General features: G+C 47.4%; 1 long non-coding RNA gene across 3 annotated transcripts, besides 1 other annotated feature; it reads right to left on the reverse strand.

The window, feature by feature from the left end:
- Positions 4,465–4,675: a silencer, noted in NCBI's record as "fragment chr9:101622227-101622437 (GRCh37/hg19 assembly coordinates)". NCBI's record gives its function as "represses an EF-1alpha promoter that drives an FKBP-Casp9 reporter gene in an ReSE screen in K562 erythroleukemia cells {active_cell/tissue: K562}" and the evidence as "EXISTENCE:reporter gene assay evidence [ECO:0000049][PMID:32094911]".
- On the reverse strand, positions 13,508–21,853 carry LOC102724684 (uncharacterized). Of its 3 annotated transcripts, XR_930168.2 has the most exons (3): positions 21,822–21,853; positions 16,709–16,838; positions 13,508–13,977 (listed from the first exon to the last, which is right to left on the reverse strand). It is a non-coding gene; the product is annotated as an uncharacterized LOC102724684 (long non-coding RNA). The 3 variants fall into 3 exon arrangements; XR_428583.3 differs by lacking the exon at positions 21,822–21,853 and having other exon boundaries at positions 16,709–16,953; XR_930167.2 differs by lacking the exon at positions 21,822–21,853 and having other exon boundaries at positions 13,508–14,010; positions 16,709–16,953.
- Positions 21,854–22,150: the final 297 nt, after the last annotated feature.

Raw genomic sequence — 22,150 nt, forward strand, 5'->3', positions numbered from 1 at the left:
TCACCCAGACTAGAGTACAGTGGTGCAATCATAGCTCACTGCAGACTTGAACGCCTCCTGGGCTCAAGCAATTCTCCTGCCTCAGCCCCCAAGCAGATGGAACTACAGGCACACACCACCCCCAGCTAATTTTTTTGTATTTTTTTTAGGGTCTTGCTATGTTGCTCAGGCTGGTCTTGAAAGTCTGGCCTCAAGTGATCCTCCCAACTCTGCATTCCAAAGTGCTGGGATTACTGGCATGAACCACTGGGACCAGTCTTTATCTATCTTTAAGTTCACTTATTTCTTCCGCCATCTCAAACCTGCTGTTAAGCCTATCTCATCACCTTTTCATTTCAGTTATTGTAGTTTTCAACTCAATATCCATTTGGTTCTTTATTATAGTGTTTGTTTCTCTGTTGAGGTTCCCTATATATTGACTCATTGTTGGTACATTTTCCTTTAATTGTTTGAATATAGTTTAATTGTTGAATATAGTTTTCTTTAATTCTTTGACTATATTTGTAATGGCCAATTTGAAGCCTTTGTAACTTTGCAGATTAAAACAAGTATATTATTTCATAGTGTCTGTAGGTCCAAAGTCTGGCCATGGCTTAGTTGGATTCTCTGCTTAGAGTCTCACCAATTGAGGTGTCATCTAGGGCTGTGATCTTATCTTGGACTCAGGGTCCTCTTCTAGGCTCACTGGGTGTTGGCAGAAATCACTTCCTTGGGGTGATAGGATGGACCAATGGTCTAAAAGACCATTTCCCATTCCCTGCTATGAGGCCCTCTCCACATGACATTTGCTCATTTAAGGCTAGTAGGAGAGTGTTTGTTACTGATTCTTATCTCTTTCAAGGGGCCACTTGATTAAGTTAGGCCCACTCAGGATAATTTCCCTTCTGTTTACACAGAAGTCAACTGATTAGGGATCTTAATTACATCCACATAATTGCATCACTGGAGTACTATACCATCATACTCACAGATCCTGTTCATACTCAAGGAGAAGGGGATTATGTGGGGTATGTACAACAAGGGGTCCTCTTAGAATTCTTGCCTACCACAGCCCACCCTCTGGCCCCCAACAATTGACATCCCTTCCACATGCAACATACATTTACACCCTCCTAAGATTCCCTGGAGTCTCATTACAGCATGAGCTCAAAGTCTAAAATGTTATCATCTTAATCTAAATATCATTGCCTTAAAGTTCAAAATCTAAATCAAGTCCAGGTACAGATGGGCTTCTGGTTGTTAGCCAATAGGTACAGCCGCTGGGGCACAATTCCTCCCCATCTGTGGTCCTGGGAAACTAGAGTTATCTGCCCCAGCATTCTCAATATACAGTGGTGGGACAGGCACAGGATTACAGTTGCAGACATTCTGGGTCAAAAAGTGGGGAATGCAAAGTCAAAAGGCATCATGAGTCTGCTGAGTCTATCACGGTTTGGAAATCCAGCCAGGCAAATATTTGACTATTTTTGATTAGCTTGCAAGACCTAGGAATAATCTCAGGGGCTCTTAGCTCCTTCCTCTGGGCATGGTTCCACCCTCTCATCACTCTTCCTTTTTTATAAGAGATAGCACATATTTGCAGCTCAGTAGTTTTATCAGCCTGCTTCCTGACTTTTTTAGCGCAAGCTGGCAGCATTTCTACTTGGACAATTTTCTCAAGAACTCTGTGGGTCTTGCATGGATTTCAGTGGTTTTCATTCCACCAGACAGAAGCCACATCCGCAGATCTTTGCAAACTAATTCCTTTTCGATGTTGGCCTCCTGCTAAGATGGCTGAGGAATAATGGCCTTGAGCTCCCTAGCTGTCCCTGACTGAGTCGAGAAGATATGTGAGGTGCACACACCCTTCATCTCTCGAAAGAGCCCCTTGTGGGACTGAGTACTCTGATCTTTTGATCTTTCTGAGGTTTTAGCCAAAGGCTGTACAGCCACACACTCAGCCTCTTCTCTATGTCACATTTTCCACAGCCATTGACTTTTAGCACCTTTTGCCACCTGGAGAGGTGGAGTTTTTTCTAAACAATTCAGTCCTAGTTCATTTTTGTGCCATGGTTTTCCTCTCTCTCTCTCTCTCTCTCTCTCTCTCTCTCTCGCTTCACTCACATTTTACTCTAAGCATCAAGGAGAAACCAAGCAGCATTGGCAACATTGGATGAAAATCTCCTTTTGCTGCACAACAAAGCTCATCCCTTACTTCCACACACTGTACTTAAAATAAATAATAAATAAATAAATGGTTCATCTTTTATAAGTTCTGCTTTCCACATAACTTCAGGAGACAATTTTTAAATCTTTAAAAATATTTATTTTCACTGATATGTAATAGTTGTACATATTTGGGGGGTAGGTGTGATATTTTGATAACTGTATACAATGTGTAATGGTCAAATCAGGGTAATTAGCATATCTGTATCACCTCAACATTTATCTTTTCTTTGTGTTGGGAACAGTACAAGTCTTCTTTTCTAGCTAGTTTTAATTACACAATAAATTATTGTTAACTATAAGTTCCTTGCTATACTGTTGAATATTAGAAACTGTTCCTTACATTTAACTATTTTTTTTTACCCCTTAACCAACTTCACTTCACTCTCCCTCCCCCTATTCTTCTCAGCTTCTGGTAATCCTCACTCTGCTCTCTACCTCCATGAGATCCATTTTTTAATTTTTTATTTATTTTATTTATTATTATTATTTTTTAGACAGAGTCTCACTCTGTCTCCCAGACTGGAGTGCAATGGCTCGATCTTGGTTCACTGCAACCACTGCCTCCCAGGTTCAAGAGATTCTCCTGCCTCAGCCTCCCGAGTAGCTGAGGTTACAGGTACCCACCACCATGCCCAACTAATTTTTGTATTTTTAGTAAAGACGGGGTTTCATCATGTTGGTCAGGCTAGTTTTGCACTCCTGACCTCAGGTGATTCACCCGCTTTGGCCTCCCACAGTGCTGGTTACAGGTGTGGGTTACTGCACCCAGTGGTGTTTGTTTGTTTGTTCGTTTTTTGAGACAGAGTCTCCCTCTGTCACCCAGGCTGGAGGGCAGTGGCCTGATCCTGGCTCACTACAACCTCGCCTCCTGAGTTCAAGTGATTCTCCTGCCTCAGCCTCCCAAGTAGCTGGGATTACAGGTGCCTGCCAACATGCCCGGCTAATTTTTGTATTTTTAGTAGAGATGGGGTTTCACCATGTTGACCAGGCTGGTCTCAAACTCTTGAGTTCAGGTGATCCACCTGCCTTGGCCTCCCAAAGTGCAGGGATTACAGGTGTGAGCCACTGTGACTGGCCCCACTTTTTTAGATCCCACGTGTGCCTGAGAACATGTGATATTTGCCTTTCTTTGCCTGGCTTATTTCACTTAACATAATGACCTCTGTGTTGCTGCAAATGACAGGATTTCCTTCTTTCTTATTGCTGAATAGTATTCCATTGTATATATAAACCACATTTTCTTTATACATTCATCTAGTGATGAACATTTAGGTTGATTCCATATTTTGGCTATTGTAAATAATGCTACAATAAACATGGGAGTGCAGGTATTTCTTGGATGTTCGGATTTCCTTTTTTTGGATATATACCCAGCAGTGGGATTGCTGGATCATGTGGTAGTTCTATTTTTAGACTTTTGAGGCACCTCCATGATGTTTTCCATAATGGTTGTACTACTTTACATTCCCACCAACAGTGTACAAGCATTCCTCTTTCTCTGCATCCTTGCAAGCATTTGTTAATTTCTTTGTCATTTTGATAATAGCCATTCTAACTGGGGTGAGATGATAGCTCATCGTGGTTTAAATTTGCATTTCCCTGATGATTAGTGATGTCGAGCATTGCAGGAAACAATTTTGTTAAGGTTTCTGCCACTATCCAGCAAAGATCCCTTTCCTCCAGTTTCCAATGACATGTTCCTCACTTCCTTCCTCTTATTGCCATATTGTGAATATCAGTCTGTCGCCCAGGTTGGAGTGCAGTGGTGCAATTATAACTCACTGCAGCCTCGAATTTCTGGGCTCAAGTGATCCTCCTGCCTCAGCTTCCTAAGTATGTGGGAGTACAGGCATGCACCACCATGCCCAGCTAATTTTTAAAAATTATTTTTTGTGGAGACGGAGTCTCACTTTGTTGCCCACGCTGATCTTGAACTCCTGTCTTCCAGCAATCCTCCTGCCTCGGCCTCCCAAAGCAACCATCCACATTTCTACAAGGAGATGCAGGCTTTATCATGCTCCTCAAAATCCCTCCACCCTTCTCCATTTTAGGTATTTGTTACAGCAACATCTCACTTCCAGGCACCGAAATCTGTATTAGTTTTCTATGGCTACGCAGCAGCTGAAAATACCCATTTATTATCTCACAGTTCCTGTAGGTCAGAAATCAGGGCTTGCTTGGCTCAACTGGGGATCGCAGCTTTGGATCTTGCAGGCTGAAATCAGGGTGTTGGCTGGGACTGGTGTCTCATCTGAGCCTTGGTGTCTTCTTGCAAGCTCACTGTTTTTTGGCAAAATTCATTCCTTGTGGTTGTAGGACTGAGAACCTCAGCTCCTAGAGGCCACCTGCTGAGAGTGTCTGCTGCTGGCTTTGAAGAAGTGAGCTGCCACGTTGTCACAGGGCCACGTGCCTTCGACCTGAGTGTGGCCTCTAGGCGCTCAGAGTGGCCAAGTTCATGCTGAATTCCTGGAAATGGAGACTCATCAGTGGGATTATTATGTTAATAGCAATGTAGACAATGCAGGTGCATTGGAAACTTGGGCTCAGGAGCAACCATCGCTGTCATCAGATATTTACTTACCATTCAAGAAGATTCTGTTTTGAAAATTTCCAAAAATTCTCAAGAAATGGAATCTTTGTCATGTGACAGGCCCTTTACATGTCAGTTGGAAAGGATGTGTTTTATTTCTAGGGGCCAATTCTGGATTTCTTTATAGGTTGAATATCTGTTCAACTTAAATTTCCTTTGCTAACCTACTTTCCTTTTCTCCTCCTATTAAAATAGCGCTTTTCACACTTTCATGTGCATAGTGGGAATCCCCTGGCATCTTGTTAAAAGGCAGATTCAGGCCAGGCGTGGTGGCTCACGCCTGTAATCCCAGCTCTTTGGTAGGCCGAGGCAAATGGATCACTTGAGGTCAGGAGTTCGAGATCAGCCTGACCAACATGGTGAAACCCCATCTCTACTAAAAATACAAAATTAGCCAGATGTGGTGGCACATGCCTGTAATTCCAAACTACTCGGGAGGCTGAGGCAGGAGAATCACTTGAACCCAGGAGGCGGATGTTGCAGTGAGCCAAGATCAAGCCATTGCACTCCAGCCTGGGAGACAGAGCGAGACTCCATCTCAAAATTAAAAACAAAAAAAGGCAGATAGATTCAGGTTCAGTAGGTCTAGGATGGGGTCTGAGATTCTGCATGTCCCCTAAGCTCTTACATAATGCAATTGCTGCTGGTCTGTGGACCACATTTTGAGTAGCAACATATATGTGAGAATGAGACGGAGAGGAGAAAGCGCCTGGTTAGCCAGGCAGTCATGTCTTCCTTGCACACACACACTAGATGGTGTTGTCAGCTCAGGAAACATGACAGTGCTTTCCTGGAGACCAAGTCTATTGGTCTAAAAATTCTCCAAGTCAGAGATCCCGGGATGGCAGACTTGGAAGGCTCCCAGAGATCATCTAGTGCCAGATGTAGCCGATGGGGAACTGAAGCCAGGGAGGGAAGAGGTTTGCTGGATATCACGCAGCAAGTCAGGGACCAATTCCCATCATTCCACTTAGCAGTCAGTGTTCTAAATGTGGCCTGGGTGTGTCACTTTTCTTAAAGTGTTAAAGTGGTACTCTCTCCTTCTTTTTAAAAATTGTAGCTTCAAAAATTGGCTTTGCTATATTACATTGTATACATTTTAAAGTCAAATTAATTTCCTATCTTAACAAAAAGTTCTAGAGACTTTGCCACGCAGCTTGGTGTATCATAGCCACAATATTTATTTAATTAGTGAAGTTGGAAATACTGGCCTCTTACAGTCTCCTAATGTTTGTGAGGTTTAATACACTACACACCAAATTTCTCACACCTATACACAACTTCCAAGGTTTTTTTTTTTAAAACAAACATTTTATTTGATCTTATGAAGTCAGTTAGCTGAAGGTTGCTACCTTCTGTTTGCAGCTGCTGATAATAATAATAATAATAATAATAATAATAATAATAATAATAATGATACTATGTGTTCAGCACTTTTCTAAGCACTTCATATAAATGAGCTAATTTAATTCTCAAAATTAAAAACATTCCACCTCCCGCCCACCACCCCTGCTTTAAAAGGTAAGGACATTGAGACTCAGAGAGGGTAAGGAACTGGTCTAAGTTTGCACAGATAATAAGCGGCAGGGCTGGGATTTGCACTTAGTCTTGCTCCAGAGCTCAAACAGCTCTGTCTTCCTCTCTCTGGGAGGGGAGGAGAGGGCCTGCCCAAGTCACGCAGCTCATATTCCCTGATCACTCTTAATCCATGTACACAACACTGCCAGTTACAGCCTGACGGTTAATGAGAGTCTGTCCTGCTTGGAGAGTGCAGGAGTTTATAGCTGATTGATATCTCTGGGCAAGCACATTTCTTTCCAAAGTGTCAAGTCAAGGAGAAGAACTAGGGACAGGGCTCCAAGTTCAGAGTTGCCTGTGGACCAGACCTGCTCCTCCACATGCAGCTGTCCGGGTGGAATTCCATCCTTGCCCATGTCACACTCTGCCCTCTTTCTCTTTCAAACAGGATGCGGGTGGGAGGTATGTCTTCAGTTTCCCTCTCTGAGGTTCTTGCTGCTCAGTCAGAGAGGCCTACAGGCAGTGGCCAAATTGACTGCGATTGCTTCATCCAGCCCTTACCCATCTTCAGTGTGCTTAATACCCAGGGGATAGAGAGTTCTGTCTCAATCGCCATGTCATGATTCCTTTCTGAATCATCTTGAACTTTCTTTTACGAGGTAAGGGTCAGTGGAACAGATTGCTCATGAGAATCTTAAGACAGTTATTTCAGTATCCTATAAAGAAATTGCCAGAATGGGTGTGTCTGTTGGGTGGCTTGAGTTATTAACTCAAGCGTGATTGCAAAGCACCACTGGATTCTAATTGCCAACAGTTATTTTTCATTTATTTATTTATGAGATGGAATCTCGCTCTGTTACCCAGGCTGGAGTGCAGTGGCACAATCTCGGCTGACTGAAATCTCCATCTCCTGGGTTCAAGCAATTCTCCTGCCACAGCCTCCTGACTAGCTGGGATTATAGGCACCTGCCACCATGCCTAGCTAATTTTTGCATTTTTAGTAGAGACGGGGTTTCAACACGTTGGCCAGGCTGGTCTTGAACTCCTGACCTCAGGTGATCTGCCTGCCTTGGCCTCCCAAAGTGCTGGGATTACAGGCATAAGCCACCGTGCCTGGCCACCAACGGTTATTTTAACAAGCAAATTACTGGGTTATAGACCTTGAAGGGACTTTAGAAGTCATGTGCTCAACTCCTTCCTAATGCAGAAATTCCTCCTCCACGTTCCCAATACACAGCCAGCTGACCCTAGCTTGTCCACTGCCACTTACTCCACAGCCATCCCGTTCTGTTCTTGGGTGGCTTCCTGATGAAGCGGGAATCACTTTCCCTGCAACTTCCCTTATTGCTCTGGGATCCCTCTGAGGCCACCCAGTGCGTTTGCTCTCTCTGCTCCAGGACACCCCTCAGAAAGTCAAGTAGGGAGGATATGGCCTTACACTTACTCTGCTCCAGGCTAAGCAGCCCTAGTTTCTTCATTGTGGTGTGTGGTTTTCACTGGGATTCTGGGAGTGAGTGAAGACAGAGGTTTGCATGAAATCTGCTGCATTTTACCAAAAATCAAGACTGTCTTCTGTATCCTTACAGAGAGGTCCAGGCCAGCTCAGGCTGACCCCCAAATGCTGTGAGGGTAGTAAAACATTGGCAGGCTGTGGGGTGGGGACTGGCTGCGTGCATGTGTGTGTGTGTCTGTGTGTGTGTGTGTGTGTGTGACAGAGAGAGAGAGAAAACCAGAAATGGTGTGAGACCCCAAACCTTCATTTTCCATAATAGGAAGTCAAGAATAATCATCTAAAATAGAAAAACTGGCCAGGTGAGGTGGCTCATGGCTGTAATCCCAGCACTTTGGGAGGCCGAGGCAGGTGGATTACCTGAGGTCAGGAGTTCAAGACCAGCCTGGTCAACATGGCGAAACCCCATCTCTACTAAAAATACAAAAATTAGCCAGGCATGGTGGTGGATGCCTGTAATCCCAGCTACTCGGGAGGCTGAGGCAGGAGAATTGCTTGAACCCGGGAGGTGGAGGTTGCAGTGAGCCAAGATCACGCCACTGCACTCTAGCCTGGGTGACAGAGCAAGACTCTGTCTCAAAACAAACAAACAAAAATACGAAGGCAAACACTGGAAGAAATAGCTGGAGGAGTTGAGAATAGAGTCTCTCTTGGGAGCCAGATCTGGGGGTGGAGAGAGGTGGGAATGGGAGACTGCTGATTTTATTATAAACCTTGAGAATGATTAGGTTTCTTAAGCTAAATACATATATTCCTTTGACAAAAATTATATTTAAAAATTTCCCCAAACGGAGTCTGAGTGCAAACTCTTATTAGTAGGGAAAAAATTAGGGACCTTAGTTTGCCTTTGTTTGGCATGATCGATTGAAAACAGGCCAGGATTTGCAGTAGGAGAGACCTGAGTATAAATTCTGCTTGGTCACATGGACTTTGAGCAAGTTACTTACCCACTCCGAGCCACGATATCCTCTTCTGTATTATAGGGGCAGTGCTACTACCTCTGAGGGGGTGGTGAGGATTGAAGGAGGTGAGGGGGGCCAAGCTGGGAGCCTGGGGCACCAGCCAGAATCAGAGCTCAGGGACCACTTCCTGAGGGAGAGAAGATGCTGACCAGACAAAGATCCCAGGTTGCTCAATCCCAGAAGTGTCCTGGGAACCAGATCAGCCTCAGCCAGCAGAGTGTCTGGGAACTGTTGCTCTTCACAGAAGCCCTGAGTTCTGTGCTGTTTGCTGCATGTGGTAGAACAAAGAGGTCCTTGGAGGTTCCCAATCCTCCTTCCTTCTCCATCTGCAGGAATATCAACTTTTCAACACTTCTCTTGTAATTAGTCCATCTCCCTGGGAAAACATTGAATCCAAGAGCTGCAGGGATGTTTAGGGTTCATTTTATCCAATCTTTTCACTGTGGAGTTGAGGGCACGGCTCCCTCAGAGAGCACAGGAAGGGGCCCCAGAGGCTAGTTCATAGTTTGTGCCTGGAGAAGGGAGGATGAACTTCGGCCACTCTGCAGAACCCTGCGGGCAGTAGGATTTGGAAGACTCAGGGAGCTTGTCCTGATGTGGACTGGGCTCTGTGCACAACCTTTGCAACCAGAAGCTGAAGGGAAATCAAACTGCCTTTTCTGGGTCAGATTCTGGACAATTCTGGGAACTTGTCTGCAGAACAAATTGATTTATGGGGACCCAGCTGTGAGGAACTGTACAAAACAGGGATCAGAGGAGATACACTCCAGATGTGGCTTCATTAAAAGCAGGGAGAGAAAAATACGGCTGAAGGGCTTCTTAGGTCCATTGGGCCGTGACTCGGAGTCTTGGGAGAAAGTATGGCAAGGGCCTGTGGCATCAAGCGGCTGACTTTGAGCTGGATAGCAGCTTAGAATTCATTCTGTCCAACCTCCAGACACTAGGGATGGGGAAGCCAGAGGCCTAGAGAGCAAAGGGGCTGATTCGGTATCACACAGCCAGGGTAGCCAAGGTTGGGACCAGAACCCACGTCTTCTGCTGCCAGTTCCAACGTCTGTCCCATCACCTGCCCCTGCCTCTCACTCTAAGAGTCTGCCTTTTAGAAACCAACTCAAGGCTGTTTTCTTAATTAAAAGCCAATCTCACTGTGTTGGTGAGATTGGCCACACTTTGAAGAATGAGGCCAGGCATCTATCTATCTATCTATCTATCTATCTATCTATCTATCTATCTAATTAGCTTTCTTGGATGGAAAAGATCCTTTTGTATTGCCCAGAGGGAATCCTTGCCCTAATGCTGGGGTGAAAAACTTCCTCCCCATCTCACAGACTTCCAAGGCTCTCGGCAACACTTTCCATTGGAGTAGTTGGTTCTTTGTCAGGTGTCTGCTCTCTGTCTTCTGAGGGTGCAGGTGGAGGTGGTCCAAGAGACGGGAGCATGATCCTCTCCAGCTGCATTGTCTCTGTTGGGAATGGATTTCAGTTTTCTGATGCTCGGAAACTAGATTCACATTTGGTAGAATCTCAAATCCAGCTTGGTTTCCCATTCCTATAACAGCATTCCTGATGTGTGTGAAATTCTTCTTTTTCTTTAACACTTTAATTTTCCCAGATTATTTAAAAATATAAGATTACTGCTGAAAATCTGGAAACTACACAAGAATGTAAAGAAACCACTTAAGTTCTCACTACCCAAAGACAGCACCATTTGGAATTACGTCCTTCCAGTCTTTTTTCGTGATCACACTTCCTTTCATTTGGCTGAAATTGGCTGGATAATAACTTTTGCCCAGTGAGCATAGTTCTGTTGCTTGGAAAAAGGCAGAATTAGTCTCCTTCCTAACAAAAGTTCAGATGCATGAAGTCAACATCTGTCCCCAGATTCTTCCTACCTCTGGGAAAAAACCTCAACCCCATTTAAATGCCAAGGTTTATAACAGCACTTCTGATTATTACCATTTACTAAGTGTGCACTACTTGTAAGGTACAGTGCTAACTAATTCTCATACATTCCTTGTTTAATCTTCACAACAACCTCATGAAGGAGGCATTTTCTAGCTCCAAGTTTTAAAAGAAACTGAGACTCAAAGAGAATGGGTCCCATTTAGGCTGACGGGAACCAAGTTCAGTGAGATGAGAGCCTCCTTTATTCTGGACCCTTTATCTCTATTATGGTGGCCAGAGGACACAGCAGCATTCCTGATGCTTTATCAGAACTGCCCCTTGAATGCCATGCTTGCAAAGCAAACTTTTACATTTGTTCCTGACAAATTAATCTCTTTCATTCTGGCTCATAAAGACCTTTTTTTCCCTCATAAAAATCTCTGAGGCAACATGACTCATGTAGAATTCCTGGAAACAATATTTTTAAAAAGCCTCCTAGCTATAGCACCTGGCACACACGACACATCCCATACCTGGTTACTATTACTACAGAAGGCAGGTGACACTGTTTGTTTCGTTCCCTGGGTTTCCCTCTGTTCCCCACAGTAGAACAATGGGCTAAAAGTAGCTCTGTGCTAAGGAGGGCCCATCCGCTGTGGTTGGTCTCTGAGGTGGCTTCCAGAAGCATCCATCCTTTCCAGCTATTGGCAGAAACAAGAAGCCAAGAAGATACTTCCTTGAATGTGGGCCCATCTGCTCTCATGCCTGGCTCTGCTCTCCCTCATCATCCCTCCCATTTGCGGGTGGGGTGGGTTTGTCTGTCCTTGGTGGGAAGACCTCTTCCCTCCCCAGCCCTCAGACCCCAAATCCATGACACCACAGCCCACCTTGCTGCTACTTCGGCTGCTGATTCCTCACCCACGTTGCTCAGAAGTGACATTCCTTTTAGTGGGGTGGAGCTGTTGAAATGGATTTTAAAATATGGGTTGAATTTGAATTTTTGGTTGTTTTCTAAATTTGGTCACAATCATGTCTTCTTGTTCTAAAACAAGAGAGAAAGGAAGCAGCTGCCCTCTGGGAAGCCTCCAGAGAGGAGAGGGGAAGAAGAAAGCCCTCACGTGTCTCTGTTGATTGTTCTGCTTCCTTCCTGAGCTCTCTAAAGCCAGGTCTGTAGGAGTGGAAGGAGATAGACATGGCCCTGAAGATGCCCACTTGGTATCCCTGGCCTGGGAAACTCTTGCAGGGCACACCATAGCCACCCAACAAGGCTACTGGCTCCTGCTCATGCCAGACCGGTGTGCTCTGCCCTGTGGGGAACGGAAAACACAGACACTGTCCCCACCCTGGGGAGCAAATCCCACTTGAATCTGGCCAATATAATTCAAGGCAGATACAGAGAGGTGCAAGGAGCCCAGATAAAGGAGTGACCTTGTCTTCATTAGAGGGGGTGACATTTGTGCCACCTCAGAAGGCTGAGTAGGCTCCAGATAGTCTGTGGAGCAGGGGAGGGCAGTCCAAGGGTGGACATGGAGGCCAGGAATGGGGGGAGGGGGGATCCTACAATATGGAGAAGGGAGGCTGGGCAGGGGAGGCCACAGCCTGGCTGGGTCCACATCTTCAAGGGTTGGATGCCAAGCTGAGTTTAGATTTCATCTTGGAGGCAAAGAGGAGAAATGGTCTGTGCAGTGAGGACAAGGTTGCAGCTGGCCAAGCAGTGGTTTCCTCCCATTGCATCATCCTTCCTCAAGCGTCCATCCCCCACGGAGGGAGCTGCAGAGGGCTGGGATTCTGCAAAGGGCTGTGTGGTTTGGCTTCTGTCCCCAGCCCTGAACTAAACCTTTCCTGCCAAGGTCAGGGACCTCTCATTTACTAAATCCTTTGAAAAGTTTTCTTCCTCATGTGCCTGAATCTCACTGCTGCATTTGGCCTGGTCTGTCCCTGTCTCTTGTTGAGATACTCTCCTCTTGTGGCCTGTGGCCACCACACATCTGGGTTCTCCATCTACTCTCCCTGCTTCTCAATCACTTCTCTGGGCTTCTTCTCCAGCATTCTTAAGTCACATTCCCCAGGATTCCATGAGACCTGCTTGTGACCCTTCATGCTTTTCCTGGGGGATCTCAAACACGGGTGTGGCTTTATTTTATTATTATTTTTTGAGATGGAGTTTCACTCTTGTCACCCAGGCTGGAGTGCAATGGGGTGATCTTGGCTCACTGCAACCTCCGACTCGTAGGTTCAAGTGATTCTCCTGCCTCAGCCTCCTGAGTAGCTGGGATTACAGGTGCCCATCACTACACCTGGCTATTTTTTATTTTTTATATTTTTAGTAGAGACAGGGTTTCATCATTTTGGCCAGGCTGGTCTTGAACTCCTGACTCCAGGTGATCTGCCCACCTTGGGCTCCCAAAGTGCTGGGATTACAGGTGTAAGCCACCATGCCTGGCCAGTTGTGGCGTTAATACCAATAGTTAGCTGTGTCTATCAGGAATTTTTTTTTTTTTTTTTTTGAGACAGAGTCTCACTCTGTCACCCAGGCTGGAGTGCAGTGATGTGATCTCGGCTCACTGCAACCTCCGCCTCCCGGGTTCAAGTGATTCTCGTGCCTCAGTCTCCTGAGCAGCTGGGATTACAGGCTCCTGCCACCATGCCCAGCTAACTTTTGTATTTTTAATAGAGACAAGGTTTCAACATGTTGTCCAGGCTGGTCTCGAAATAATGACCTAAGGTAATCTGACTGCCTCAGCCTCCCAAAGTGCTGGGATTATAAGGTGAGCCACTGTGCCTGGCTATCTATCAGGAATTATATCAGAAGTAGCAGAAACCTGTAAAACAGTGATTGAATCAAATTGAGGTTTTATTTTTCTTAGGTAAGAGGAAGTTCAGATTTAGGCATTTCTAGGCTGATACAATGTCTCTGTGGTGCTGAGGGATGGAGGCTCCTTCTGTCTTTCCACACGGCCTTGTTTAGTGTCTTCCTGTGACCTGTGGTTGTAAGATGGCTGCCTCCTCTCACCCCTCCAAGCATTGAGCCTGTCTTCATTCAAGGAGACGGGAAACCTGCCAGCTGAGTCTGTCTTCTGTTAAAGAGCTTTCCTGGGGGCTCCACCAGTGATGTCTATTTACATCTCTGCATCAGTCAGTTATTGCCAGGGTAATGCTCTGTAACAACCACTCCCAAATTCAGGCTCGGCTCATCTGAGCAGTAGTCCAGACTTGGATCGGCTGGCCTTGGCTCTAAGAGCACTAGTTCTGGGATCTAGAATTTGCTGGGATCCGAGCAAGCAGTGATTACCTGGGTGGGTTCTTCTAATGGTGAATCATGAAAAGAAGGAAACCAAACTATGCAAGCAAATAAAAGGTTTCTGCTTATTCCTTCCACTAACATTCCAAAGGAAGTCATGTTACTAAGCTCAACATCAACGCGTAAGTACTTACACTCTATTCACAATGGAGAGGAGAAGAATGCATATTTGTGGAGGAATAATCCACATTAACACAATCTCACTGTCCAGCCATGTATGTTGCCTCTTAGCTGCAAAGGAGGTTAAGTGTGGCTTTTTTTTTCTGAGTCGGAGTCTCACTCTGTCACCCAGGCTGGAGTGCAGTGGTGGGATCTCAGCTCACTGCAGCCTCCTCCTCCCAGGTTCAAGCAATTCTCCTGCCTCAGCCTCCCGAGTAGCTGGGATTACAGGTGCCCACCACCACACCAGGCTAATTTTTGTATTTTTAGTAGAGACAGGGTCCACCCTTGGACTGCCCTCCCCCCACCCCCTCCACCCCGCCAACAGAAGGGGTCAGGTCTCAACTCCTGACCTTGTGATTCGCCCACCTTGGCCTCCCAAAGTGCTGGGATTACAGGCTTGAGCCACCATGCCCGGTCAAGTGTGGCTTTTCTAGTTGGCACATTGCCATCCTAAACAAATGCAAGGTTTTGATAGTAAGGAAGTAGAGGAGAGTGGATGTTGGCTAGGCACACTTTGCCAGGACTTTTTACAATAGTCATGGGCCAGGAGTTTCCAGGCAAAAATTAATGAAGATAGGGATCACACTGGCTTACAGTAACACTGGAGAAGCTTATTATCCTTGTGAAGACACAGAGACAGGCAATGCCACATCTCAAACATATCCAAGATTTACATGGGCCACTGAGTTCCTTTCTCCCATTGCAACATTTCACAAACTTTCCCCCATTTTGGTGTCCTCCCAAGTACTGTCCCTCATTTTGGCACCTCTCCTAGTACTGTCAGAGGTGCAACGACATGATGGGCATGGGAAGGTTACCAGGAGAGGTGGAAGAGTCATCAATGTCATCCCCATTTGGAGTTGCTTGTCCTTACGTCTTCTCGGGAGATGCTAGCCTGTGTCAGTCCTAGCACATGCCCATCAGCCCTGAAGGACTCTGGCTCTGTCACATGTCCTGGTCCCAGGGCCCAGCATCAATCTCTTTCATTTGTAGCATCAGTGCTTCAAATCACTATCAAATATATTCAGGTCCTGACATCAATTAAGGGACAGGAAGGTGCAAAGCAATCTAAGACAAGAAGTGAGAGCTGGTGTTGAAAGAAGGAGGCTAGGGCGTTGCTAACTTCAGGATCACAAGGACTGTTCCACTGCCTAATCCTAAAGAGCAAAGAAAGCAAGAGACTTTTACTAGATCAAACTTGCAGTTCCTGAAGCAGGGAGTCCAGAATGGTTTCCAAAGTCTGCATCATTATTGTCTTCTTCAGCTTCTCACTCACCACCTACACACTGGCAATTCCAGATCCCTCTCCAGCATGGGTCTCTCTCTACCCGACTGCCTGCTGACCATCTCCTCTGCTTGCACCACAGAGCCTGCAAACACAACACCTTCTAATCTGGACTCGTCATCTTGTCCTCCCCTAACCTACTATTCTTTCTCTCGTGCTGCCCACAAAGCTGAAAAAATCTGGTCTATCTCACTGGCATCTATTTCTTTCCCTTTGTCCTAGCAAGAGCCTGAGTATTTCTTTGGGGTCCACTCCTTTGCCTCTTAGTCCCTACAGTTTCTATGGCTCCACCAAAGCTTAAGGGGTGGAGCTCATGGATTAGGTCTAAGTCAATTAGCAAAGCCATAGTGATTGGCTGGAGGTGAGCATGTGACCAAAGCTGGTCCAATCAGGGCAAATCTCAGACTATTCATGGGAATGCTTGGACACAAGCTCTTGTGTGTTTTTGTTGAATTTAAACCTGGAGGGATGTAGTTCAGAGAGGTGCTGGCAGCCATCTTGAAAAGATATGGGACGAGCTGTCAAGAATGGAGTCAGCACAAAGTACTTGAGTCGGGAGATGGGGGGAGGAAATGCTGATCATATGACCCTCATACTGTTCAGTTATATGAACACTGCACTCCTCTTCCCTTTTTTTAAAGGTCAGTTTGACTAGTTTTTCAGACATTTTCAACCGAAAGTGTTCTGCTACACCCTTCTCACTGTAGGACTACACCACTGATTCAGCCAGTTAAGCCAGAAACCTGGGACCCACCTGTCGACTCACTCCCCACGTCTAAGGAATACCAAAAAGCTCTCAATCCTTTAGGCAGTCCCCTCCCTGCCATCCCCACTGCTATTGCCTCTGTTCGGGCCTGTGTCCTCTTTTGCCTGAGCCATGGCCAGTGACCATCAAGTGGCCTCCTCTTCAAACTTGCCGTTTCAATCTCTCCTCCTCCCCATCCAGCAGCGTAGCCTTTCTAAGAGCAAACCTAACCATGGTACAGTGCCTTATCACCTCCCAAGCTCCGCTGGCAGGTCCTCCTTGACCTGGCCCCTGACTGAGGCTGTGGTCTCACCTCCTGCCACCTCTCACCCCCTGGAAGAAGATGCCTGTTCCGCCTGCACATCCCTGAATGGACGAGGCTGTCTCACACCTCCACTGGAAGACATGATCTTCCTACCTTTTCTTCCAAGAACATTCTTCCTCAACCTCTGATGTCCAGTGCAATCAACTCTGTGTAGCCTTCTCTGACCACCCTGCTGTAGTTGTTTATTCCTGCCTTCCTCAACACTGTTCCTTGTCTTACCTTTATCATAGCAGTTGATCCGGTTTGTGAGGGAGGGCTTCTAGAAGGCGGGTGTGATGTGTCTGGTCATTACTGTAGCATTTGCCACAAGGCCTGGCCCAGGGGTGGTCATCCAGTGTCTGCTGGCCAGCTGCGTGAATGATTGATTGAATGAATGAAGGAAGGAAAGAGCAGATTAGACTAGGGAACATCGTCCTCTGACTGCTTTTGCTGCTGGGAGGGAAGGCCTTTGGCTTGGAAGGAAGCTGTAGTGAATGGGAAAGGGGAAAGAACTACCAAAACATATTGTGAGGTCACAGTCAAGCGGAACTCTGGCTGGCTCACACCTGTAATCCCAGCACTTTGGGAGGCCGAGGCGGGTGGATCACTTGAACTCACAGAGTTCAAGACCAGCCTGGCCAACATGGTGAAACTCCATCTCTACTAAAAAGACAAAAATTAGCCAGGCGTGATGGTGGGTGCCTATAATCCCAGCTCCTAGGGAGGCTGAGGCAGGGGAATCACTTGAACTTGGGAGGTGGAGGCTGCAGTGAGCCAAGGTCGCGCCACTACACTCCAGCCTGGATGACAGAGTGAGACTCTGCCTCAAAACAAAACAAACAAACAAAAAACAAAAACAAAGTGAACTCTGTGGAGGACTTTTCTTTACTCTGTAGATACATCTTGAGCCGAGTACAGACTGCTCTGGTGGCACAGAGGCGAGCTATCTAGACAGAATCAGGTGCTCGTGAGTGTTAATTCCACCCAGCTCTGCCACTGACTACCAGTATGACTTTGAGCAACTCATTTCCCTTATCTGAGCCTCAGTTTCCCTTTTGGCCTATCAGTTATAGTCCCTGACCTGCCTGCCTTGTAGAGCTGTTGTATGGATCAAAGAAAAAGGGGCTTTCTAGACCCAGGAGTGCTCTTCGAAGGGAGGCCAGGACGCCCAACAGTGACTCACGATCTCAACTCTTCTCATGTTCACCACTCCCACTGTGTTGTGAGGTCTCCCAGATCTGGGGAATCCATGGTCATTATGGATTACAAGTGTGAATGGACAAGCTTGGATACCTCTGAGCACACATTCCAAGCTGCCTTTTTTTTTTGAGACGGAGTTTCGCTCTTGTTGCCCAGGCTGGAGTGCAATGGGGTGATCTCAACTCACTGCAACCTCTACCTCCTGGGTTCAAGCGATTCTCCTGCTTCAACGTCCCTAGTAGCTGAAACTACATGTGCCCACCACCATGCCCGGCTAATTTTTTGTATTTTAGTAGAGACAGGGTTTCACCATGTTGGTCAGACTGGTTTCGAACTGTGACCTCAGGTGATCCACCTGCCTCGGCCTCCCAAAGTGCTGGGATTATAGGCGTGAGCCATCACACTTCCATGCTGCATTCTTTTGATGGCTGCTGACAAAATCTCAACTCCAGCTGTAAGCAAAAATGGAATTTATTGGCACACAGAACTAAGAAGTCAGGGACTTCAGGCACAGCTGGATCCAGGATTCCAACAATATCTATCCTAGGGCTTTTTTTTTTTTTTCTCTGCTTCCTTCTGCTGGCTTCATTCTGAGGCAAGCCTTCCTTACTCCCTGAAGGGACTCCAGGAAGCTCCAGGCTTCCGTCATTCTTACAGCTAGCAATCTCAATATTTTCAGTGAAAGTTCAGGTATTGAGTTTTGCTAGATTCTCTTGGATCAAGGGCCTATCTCTGATGTACCACTGTGGAGAGGGGCATTAGAGGGACCTGAATTCCATGCCCACCTTTGGAGCAGGGACGGACATAGCACTACCTGAACTAGGCATGGGGAGAAGTGGCTCAGTGAAGCAGGAAAGAGAAGATGCATGCCAATCAGGCAATAGCAACTGTCATCAGTTGCCAGTGGCCTGGGCAGAGTGGGTGTTAAATCGTGAGGTCAGCATATCTTGTGTCTGGGGCCCCTTCCTCCTTCTGGGTGCCATCTCCCACCCCTGTGCCATCAGCTGGAAGTGGCAGAGAATTACTCAGATGAGCTGGGCCCACAGAGCCAGAGGAATCTGTGGGTCTGGGAAGGCAGCCAGGAGGTCAGGCCTCCTAAGCTTGGGGTGGAAGGAGCCTGCCAAGTCTTGGACTCCCTCCTTGCCCCAGCGCCTCCCTGCCTGGCTGCAGCTAGATCCCTGGAGGCAGACAAGTTCGGAGGGCAAGGGTGAGGGGGTGCACTGATAGAAAGAGGAGTGACGGGACTCAGGAGGCCTGAGGTTAGGCTGGGTGAGCTCTGGCTCACTGGGAAGCCATCTCTGCCTTAGACTTACCTCACAGGTGTGCCACCTGAGCACAAGGCCCCATGCCTAGACGGGCCCCATGCTTGGTATAATGCTCTACTGTTACCATCTTGAAATTCTTCATAGTTTTTGAAATAGATGCCTCCAGTTTTCATTTTGCACAACCCCCAAAAGTTATGTAGCCAATCTTGGTCTCAGTCTCCCCATCCATGTCAAGAAAGTGATGGACTAAAGGACCAGAGGAGCTTGGAGGTGACTTCCCGCTGACAGCAGAAGCAGGTGGTCCTCCAGGGGAGCTTCTCTGGGCTCACAAGTGGTTATTTCCCCTGAGAAGGTCACCCAAAGCTGCCCCATGTTGCCACCTCCTTTCTCCTCTTCCAGCTCCTGTACTTTGAGGGGTGGAAAGAGCTAGAGCTGCGATCAGCACCCACGACTCAGGGAGCACTGGACTTCCCATCATCACTCACCCATCTGGCTTAACGCCCCCCCCACCATCTGGCACCATGCTACTCATAGTGTGGGTCATGGACCAGCAGCCCTGGCATTCCCTTGGAGCGTGTTAGAAATGCAGACTCTCAGGCCCCACTCAGACCTACTGAAGCAGAATCTGCATTTTAACAAGCTCCTGGGTGATTCTCAGGCTCATTAAGGTCTGAGAAGTTCTGATGAAGGCTCATTAAGGCTCCCTCCAGGGCATGCCTTGGGCCTCAGGACTGGGCAGGACAGCATTGCGGGGTGGATAAAGGCACAGAGCTGGAGAAGTTCAGGGTGTCCACATTTGCTCCAGCTGCCATGACAAGTACTCCAGGCTGGGTGGCTTAAACAACAGAAACTGATTTTCTTGCAATTCTGGAGGCAAGAATTCCCAGATCAAGGTGTGCCCTGGGATGGCTTCCTCTGAGGCCTCTCTCCGTGGCTTGTAGGTGGCCGCCTTCTGTCTCTGTGTTCACATGGCATTCACTCTGTGCTTCTCTGTGTCTTAATCTCCTTTTCTTATGAGGACACCACCCGTCAGATTGGGTTAGGGTACCCCAATGAACTCACTCAAACTTAATGACCTCTTTAAAGACCATGTATCCAAATACAGCCACATTCTGAGGTACTGTGGGTTAGGACGTCAATGTATGAATTCAGGGAGGGACGTGATTCAGCCCATGGCACGGGTGTGCACAGGAGGGGCACAAAATGGAAGTCATCAAGCGTTCACTATGTGCCAGGCTTGGAGCCAGGTGCTCTGCTTATTTTTTTCACTTAATCCCCAAACAGCCCTGAGAGGTACAAAGTGAGCCACAAACACTGTTGAGGTCCCTCTGTGTGCCAGGCACTGGGCTAGGCACACACATACATCATGGCACGGCTTCCCCACAGAGTCTGCTCCTCATCACACTCACAGGTGTGGAACCTGAGACCCAGTGAGGAAAGAGAGGATGCTCCAGGTCATTCAGGGATGGGGCCAGGACTCAGGTGTTTGTGGTCCATTTTCACCCCTCCTTGTCTACCTCCTTGCCTTGCTGCTTGGGAACAGTGGTTTACAAGTCATTCTGCATTGCCATCAAATAAACTAGAGGGTCTTTTTGTTTTCTTTTTTGAGATGGAGTCTCACTCTATTGCCCAGGCTGGAGTGCAATGGCGCAATCTTGGCTCAGTGAAAACTCCGTCTCCCGAGTTCAAGCGATTCTCCTGCCTCAGCCTCCCAAGTAGTTGGGATTATAGGCATGCACCACCACACTTGGCTAATTTTTGTATTTTCAGTAGAGATGGGGTTTCACCATGTTGGTCAGGCTGGTCTTGAACTCCTGACCTCAGGTGATCCACCCGCCTTGACCTCCCAAAGTGCTGGGATTACAGGTGTGAGCCACGGTGCCTGGCCATTAGAGGGTCTCTAATTGTAGAAGACAAAAAGAAGTGGTGAAAAACAAAAAGACACCTGCTGGCTGGTGGGGTGTCCTGGAGAAAGGCCACACCCATACCAGGCACCAAGGCTGGTGTGTGATGAATGTGGAACCCCTGGACCCTTTGCAGATGGGGTTCTGGAGATACTCCAGCCTCAGCAAGGGGAGGAGCATATGCTCCAAGCTTGCCAAGTGGGTGGTTCCTGCGGTTGGATTTTGGGGCACACTCTGCTCTGGGGAGTGGAGCTCACAGAGCCATTTTCAGTCCCGGTAAGCCCCCAGTTTCCTTCTGCCACTCTGAGCTCTCTTTACCTATTCTTCATCATCGGGACACTTGTGCGTCTACACTGGCAGTCATGGGATTTTTTTTTTTTTTTTTTTTTTGAGACAGAGTCTCACTCTGTCATCCAGGCTGGAGTGCACTGGTGCTATCTTGGCTCACTGCAACCTCTGCCTCCCAGGTGCAAGTGATTCTCCTGGCTCAGCCTCTCGAGTAGCTAGGATTACAGGTGCATGCCACCACACCTGGCTAATTTTTGTATTTTTTTTTTTACTAGAGATGGGGTTTCACCATGTTAGCCAGGCTAGTCTCGAACTCCTGGCTTCAAGTGATCCATCCACCTCTGCCTCCCAAAGTGCTAGGATTATAAGCATGAGCCATGGCGACCGGCCTGGTCATGGGATTTTAAAGCAGGCAGGGGCCCTGGAAGGACCCAGTGGGCCAGTCCATTGACCCTGGTTTGAGTCACAAACTCCTTGGAGAGCCTCAAGGGAGCCATGGCCCCTGTCACTAGGAGAGCACACCTGTGTGCACACACACATAGACACACCTGACCATTCTCAGCTGCAGGAGCCTCCAGGTGCAAGATTCTGCCTTAGAAGGCTCTACAGCACCTCCGCCCTTGGTGCACACCCTGGGGGATGAGTTCTTACTTTCTGCCGTGCCTGCCCGGGGCTTCGGTGCACCACCCCAGTTACCTCTTTTTATTGGAGCCGACTCTGCCTCCCAGTGGCTTCTTTCCATGGGTCATTGTTCTGCTCCTCAGAGCCACCTGGAATGAGGTCACCATGTCCTCTCTGTGACACAGATGAGAAGCTAAGGATCTACATCCCCTGGAGTTCGCCCCTCTCCATGGTGTTCAGCTGTGGCTCTTTCTTCGCAGGGCGGGCATCCAGACCCTTCCCAGCCTGTCTTGGCCCCAGGCCCATTCCTGTTTCTCATTGTTCTCATTAAGGGCTGGCCCCCAAAACACAGAATTCCAGGTGCAGTCTGGCCAGCCCAAGGAGAGCAGATCGCTCATCCCGTT

This window comes from Homo sapiens, chromosome 9 (assembly GCF_000001405.40).
Source record: "Homo sapiens chromosome 9, GRCh38.p14 Primary Assembly".
Classification (NCBI taxonomy): domain Eukaryota; kingdom Metazoa; phylum Chordata; class Mammalia; order Primates; family Hominidae; genus Homo; species Homo sapiens.